Here is a 6000-nt window from a genome sequence, read left to right on the forward strand (position 1 = left end):
AATCACAAGAATTGACTTTTCCTGTATTTTAAGAAGCAAAATAATAATACCAACAATGGTAATTTTAACTAGAAGTGTTATTACTTTTAATAAAAAAGAGAGTGATTATAATAAAGTACTGTAAGCTTCAGAGACTGAATAATCTCAACTCATGGAGAAATTGGCTAACTGAACACCTTGGCTGCTCGACACCCCTCTCTTCTTGACCCTATTGCATTGGTTGGTCTCAATGTGTCCTCCAGAATTGCTGCCAAGAAAAGGAATCATGAAGTGATTGCCTCTGGTGGGGCTAACCTGTAGATTTATAATCCCTAAACCCCGAAAGACCACAGTCTGGATCTCTTCTGTGGTTCTGCAGAAATAGAAAGATGCTAATCAAAATTCCCATGGGTCGTTTGTTCACTGATTAGTTCATGTGTAGTAAATAATTTGCCCAAACAATCAATAGTGACCTAATTGAGGCATTGAGGTCTACTGATGCCTTAACCACAGGTAGCAGGAAAGGCTTGAAAATAGCTACAGGTACTGAACTTCCATAAGAGTCACATGTAAACCAGGGACCCAAGCATTAGAGATTACCAAAGAACAAGAGTGTAAGGGAGGGAAACATCCATGAATGCAGCTTTTGCTGAGATGGTAGCTTCACATTTCTTTAGATGGAGAACTAAGGTCACTTTTCAGATTATAAGTATCAAGGCAGAACTGCCATCCTAAATATTTATAATGCTTATACATATTATAAATATTTTAATTTATAAATATATTTATAATGCAAATTTTTTGTTATAAATTTTATTATAAATATATTTATAATGCAAAATTTTTGTTATAAATTTTTATTATAAATATATTTACAATGCAAAATTTTTGTTATAAATTTTTATCAAAAATATATATTGCAAAATTTTTGTATTCTAAACAATTACATAAAATTAACAAGGGTTTATATAGAAATTAGGGTTATATGTGTGTTTGTGTGTGTGTGTGATCTAATTCTCTAAAGGAGTTTATAAGGGCAAGAAGAATAGAAAACCCTTCTACCTCAAACTATACGGAGTAAGGTTCCTTTCTTACCTACCACTCCCACCCAAAATATTGGGGCTGGACTAAATGTAAATCATGGAGGAATTTGTTCAGAGCACCAGTTACAGATCAGTTTAGATTGGTTATAGAATAAATGGATTGTGAACCACAGGACCTTATGTGTAGAGAGAAAGAAAGGCTTTCTACATAACAGGATTTCCCATAGGCATATTACTACAAAGTATTTTGGTGGAAAGTAAAGCCTCCTTAAAAATTAGCTGATGGGCAACCTATATTAATAGTCATCAATTAGAGCCATTTCAGACAGACCTGAGAATTCTGTTTACTAATAATCAGGAACCTAGGACACAGAAAATGAAAGTAAAAGCCTGTTAAACTTCATGGAACATAGAGAAAGAGGAGCCAAAGTATTCTGAACCAAAAATCTGAATTGGATCAGTGCAGAGATAATTCACCTACCACATGACTAAAGGTTTCTATTAGCTTTTCTTCAAGCTAAACTTAGAACTTAATATCAGACAACTGATGCATAATATTTATAGTTTCTTATAGATAATGATGCCTAATATTACTATTCTCTTTAGCATTCTTTTCTATATAAGTTTAGTCATCTGTGATTTGTTAATTTTGCTGCTTTCATTAAGTTAGAAAAAGTCAAGTTAAGAAACTGGTCCAAGTGTTGTTGAAGAAAGAGATCAGCACTGGAGGATCGTACAAGAGTTCAATAAAGAATTGATTCTCAGTGTGCTAAGACCAGGTTGGGAGCATTACATAGAGGAATGTTGCTGTAGCGGGGGCTTAGTTAGGACTGGGTATGTCACAAGTCACATACAGGAATCAAGGGAGAAACCAGTTTCCAATGAAAGAAGTGGCTAGAAACAGGCATAAGTTGTAGCAAAAAGATTTGTTGTTAGATGCTCATTAGGTTTAAAGATGGCCACACATAAAGTGTGTAGTGCCCACTGTGTGTAGTGTGTAGTGCCCAAAGAAACCTAGCTCAATTGCATAACAGCTGTGTGGCCTTAGGCTGGTCATTGATCCATTCTGTGCCTCAGTTTACTCCTTCGTAAGCAAGCATGGGCATAACAACTCTTTATGGATTCTTGTGAGAACTTGATGAGTTAGCACATGAAAACCACTTGGAAAAAGTATTCAGTAAAGATTAGCTCTTGATATTGTTACTAGCTCTTGACATTGATAATAATTAATTACATCAATAATTTATTTCACTAAAATAAAGGCTGATATGAAATAAAGACTACTGGATATACTGGGTATAATATAGTGAGTATGAGTTTGAGAATACCGGATATAAGTTTGGAAATATGGCTTCTAGTCATGGCTCTCACAATTACACCCCAAGTAAGCAATAGAATTTTAGAACTGGAATGTGAAAGTGATTCTGAAATTATCTTATTCCAATTCCTCAATTTACGTAAAAAAAATTGGGGCCAGGGGATTCTTGCTCAAGGTCACACAGCTACTTGGTAGCAGCATGCATTCCACTCTACTGCCTTTCTTAAATAAACTTCACCCTTAGCTTCCTCATGTGGAAGTCAAAATGTTGAACTATGTTAATTATTCCCCCAATTCAATTAAAATATAGGCCCTTTAAAGCTCAAATCATTAAATTAATTAGCAGATATTTATGTCTAAAAATATCTGAACATATGTTTGTTCTATAACACAGCAATTCCACCCCAGATATGTATCCAAAAGAAATGTGTATATCAAATGATAAGAACTAGAATGTTCATAAGAGCACTAGTTATATTACTCCCAAACTGGAAACTACTTAAATGTCCATCAACAGTTGAAAGGGTAAATATACTGGCACATTCACACAATACAATATGTTGCAGCAAGGAGAATGTATAGCTACACAAAATACCAGTGAGTCTCACCAACACAGTGTTAATCGAAAGAAGTCATAGCCAGAGCGATTCATGTCATGTGATCCTATTCATATAGAGTCCAAAAATAAGCAAAACTAAACTGTGCTGTTTGAAGTGAGGATGGTAGTTATACTGATAGGAGTTAGAGACTGAGAAAGGGTCCAGAGGGGTTCAGAGGTGAATGATAAGATTTTGTCTCATTTTATTTTATTTTATTTTATTTATTTTTGAGTCAGAGTCTCACTCTGTCACCCAGGCTTGAGTTCAGTGGCATGATTTCAGCTCACTGCAACTTCCACCTCCCAAGCTCATGAGATTTTAGTGCCTCAGCCTTCTGAGTAGTTGGGACTACGGGTGCACGCCACCATGCCCAGCTAATTTTCATAATTTTAGTAGAGACAGGGTTTTGCCATGTTGGCCAGGCTGGTCTCGAACTCCTGGCCTCAAGTGATCCACCCACCTCGGCCTCCCGAAGTGATGGGATTACAGGTGTGAGCCACAACTCCTGGCAGGTTTTGTCTCTTAATCTGGGTTTTGGTTGCATAGATGTGCTCAGTTTACGAAAATTCAATGTTTTATTTTTATTATCTGTGTACTCCTCTGTACGTATATTATTCTTCAATAAAAATAAAACAAACACAGTAAAACAAAAAACATTGAGTGTCGCCTCTTGTCAGCCACTATTCTAGGTGCTGGAGATAATGAACAAAATTGACAACATCTCTACCCTCAAGGAGGCTATTTTAGTGAAGAGTAAAGGAGACAGATTTGTATGATGAAAAGAAGCTAAAGTTGTTTTAAAACTGTAGTTGAGCAGTGATTACTTCATTTATTAAGTAACTATATTGTAGCTGCCATTGTTGTCTCTCAATTTATGGATTCTGATATTGTAGCTAAACATTCGACAGTATATCATCTCTCATGCTGTCTGAGAGCTTCTTTTAAATATGATTCTTAAAAATCTCTAATGGTTTCTCTTTTCTTGGCTGTCTGCTACTTTCCAAGTGGTTTTAGACTCATTTTTCATCAGTATGTCAATGGGCATTGCCAATTACCACAAAGTGCTCATTTCTCATAAAAAATAGAAACAGCAAACTAGAAAAACTTGCTACAGCAGCCAGTGGTATATGGGACCTATTACAGCCATTTAAGTAACCTCAGTAGTGATCTGTTTACGAAAGAGACTATTTGCTTTTTAAGATCTATTGCCCATTTAGCAACCTCACTGACAAAGGCAACATTATTCAATATTATTGTCATATGTTTTCAAAGTTGGACTTTAATTGCCTTTCAGACAAAAAGGATACTTTAATTATTATACTTAATTGTGAGAGAGAACAATTGCGAAAACTGGGATATGCATTGATGTTCCAATGTGCTTTTTTTTTAATGGGATAAATGAAGCCCAAGAATCAAACGAAAAATGCTGAGAAAATAATTGAAGAACTCTTTAGGAATGTGCAGACGTTTATTGGGACCATATATGAGAGCCCCGAGACAATCAAGATTTTGATTAGCCTGTAGATAACAGTGCAATTTTATCACCTTTGATTGTATCAAAATGTCCCCATGGACTGAAGGAGTGCATAAAGCCGCTAGCTTGAGTTTATAATGATGTTACTGGTATTATTTAATTTAATGTTTTATGAGCACCATATTATTTAATAATGGTTTCTTATTGAACTTATGGTGACATTTCTTGAGTTGTTATTGCAAACGATTGTTTTCTGGCAGCCTTCTCTTTCTCACACCACATAATAGGGTTATGTGGCCCCTGTTGACCATTTTGCACAGCATGGCTCTGCCCACAGGTTACAATGAATTGGAAGAGGGGAGAACACATGTCTCAATCAGAGCACCATTTTCAGATTATAGCCACAGTTGATTGGTCAAAAGGTTGGTATGTGACCCAGGCTTGACCATTTCCTTCTCCAGGAAATTCTGTTTGGGTTTTAAGGAGAGAAGGTGGTTCCTCTTTGGCTGATGTATAAGTGTGATTGTTGTTTGTGGACATTTTTTTCTGCCATGTACAATATAATAGAAATGAGTGTTCAGGTGTGTTTTGGGGAGCAGAGTTGGGGGGTAGACATTATTAAAGTCATCCCTGTCCCTGGTTCCTGTCCATTCACAGGGCCAAGTAGCATTCCAGTTCTTGGATTCCATGGGAACATTATTTACTCTGAAATGGTAGAATTGGTTTCTGTACTTGCAAACAACAGCCCTGCCTCATGTAGTTTTCTGACTTTACACCGACTCTCTTCCACCTGCATTAATATATGGACAACATTTTGCAAAAGTCCAGCAAGTCAGCTCAGCTTCCTTTTGGAATGAAATATGTTTCAAATAAATAAAATTTTAAAAGGGTTAAATAAATGTTTTAGAATTCCTAAAAAGGGTTTATATTTCATTTCACATTTGGAATTACGTTTCACTTAATGATGAAGAGTAATTATAGAATCCATTCCATTTTAAAGCTGAAAGAAAGGGATCTCCCCTCTTTTTTTTTTTTTTTTCTGACTGAGGAAACTGGGGCCCAACGAGGTCAGCCTACCTAGATTTCACGGTTCATCAGTCCTAGTAGGGCTTTCCATTTGAGATAGTAAAATGGAGGTACCTAGGCAGCTACAAAATCTAGCCTAAAAGCAGAGAGCTAAATTCAAGAGAGAATGGAAGCCAGGGATGATGGGACATTTCTCTGGAATGCATAGAGAGTGGAGTTGCGAATTCGGTGTCAGGACCCCAAACATCGAATTTCATTGCGTGCCCTCTCATTGCTTGACAGTTGCCTGCTACTTTGTTTTCAGCAAAGACATCAGAAATCCACATTTTGCAACTGCCACCCCCTTTCCAGCTTCTAAACTCAGAACTCTTCTCCCTGTCCTTCTTTAGCTCTCAACCTCTTTGGAGGGATCCTTAGGCTAGGGCTGAGTGAACAAACATCTTGGGAAAATATCTGCGTTACCAGCTGTTTGAGAAAGGTGTGTATTGGTGAGATTGAAGACAGGTATGTGGATGAGGATCCACTTAAAGATAATATATTATCAAAAGGGAAATAAATTCT

This window comes from Homo sapiens, chromosome 10, assembly GCF_000001405.40.
Source record: "Homo sapiens chromosome 10, GRCh38.p14 Primary Assembly".
NCBI lineage: Eukaryota > Metazoa > Chordata > Mammalia > Primates > Hominidae > Homo > Homo sapiens.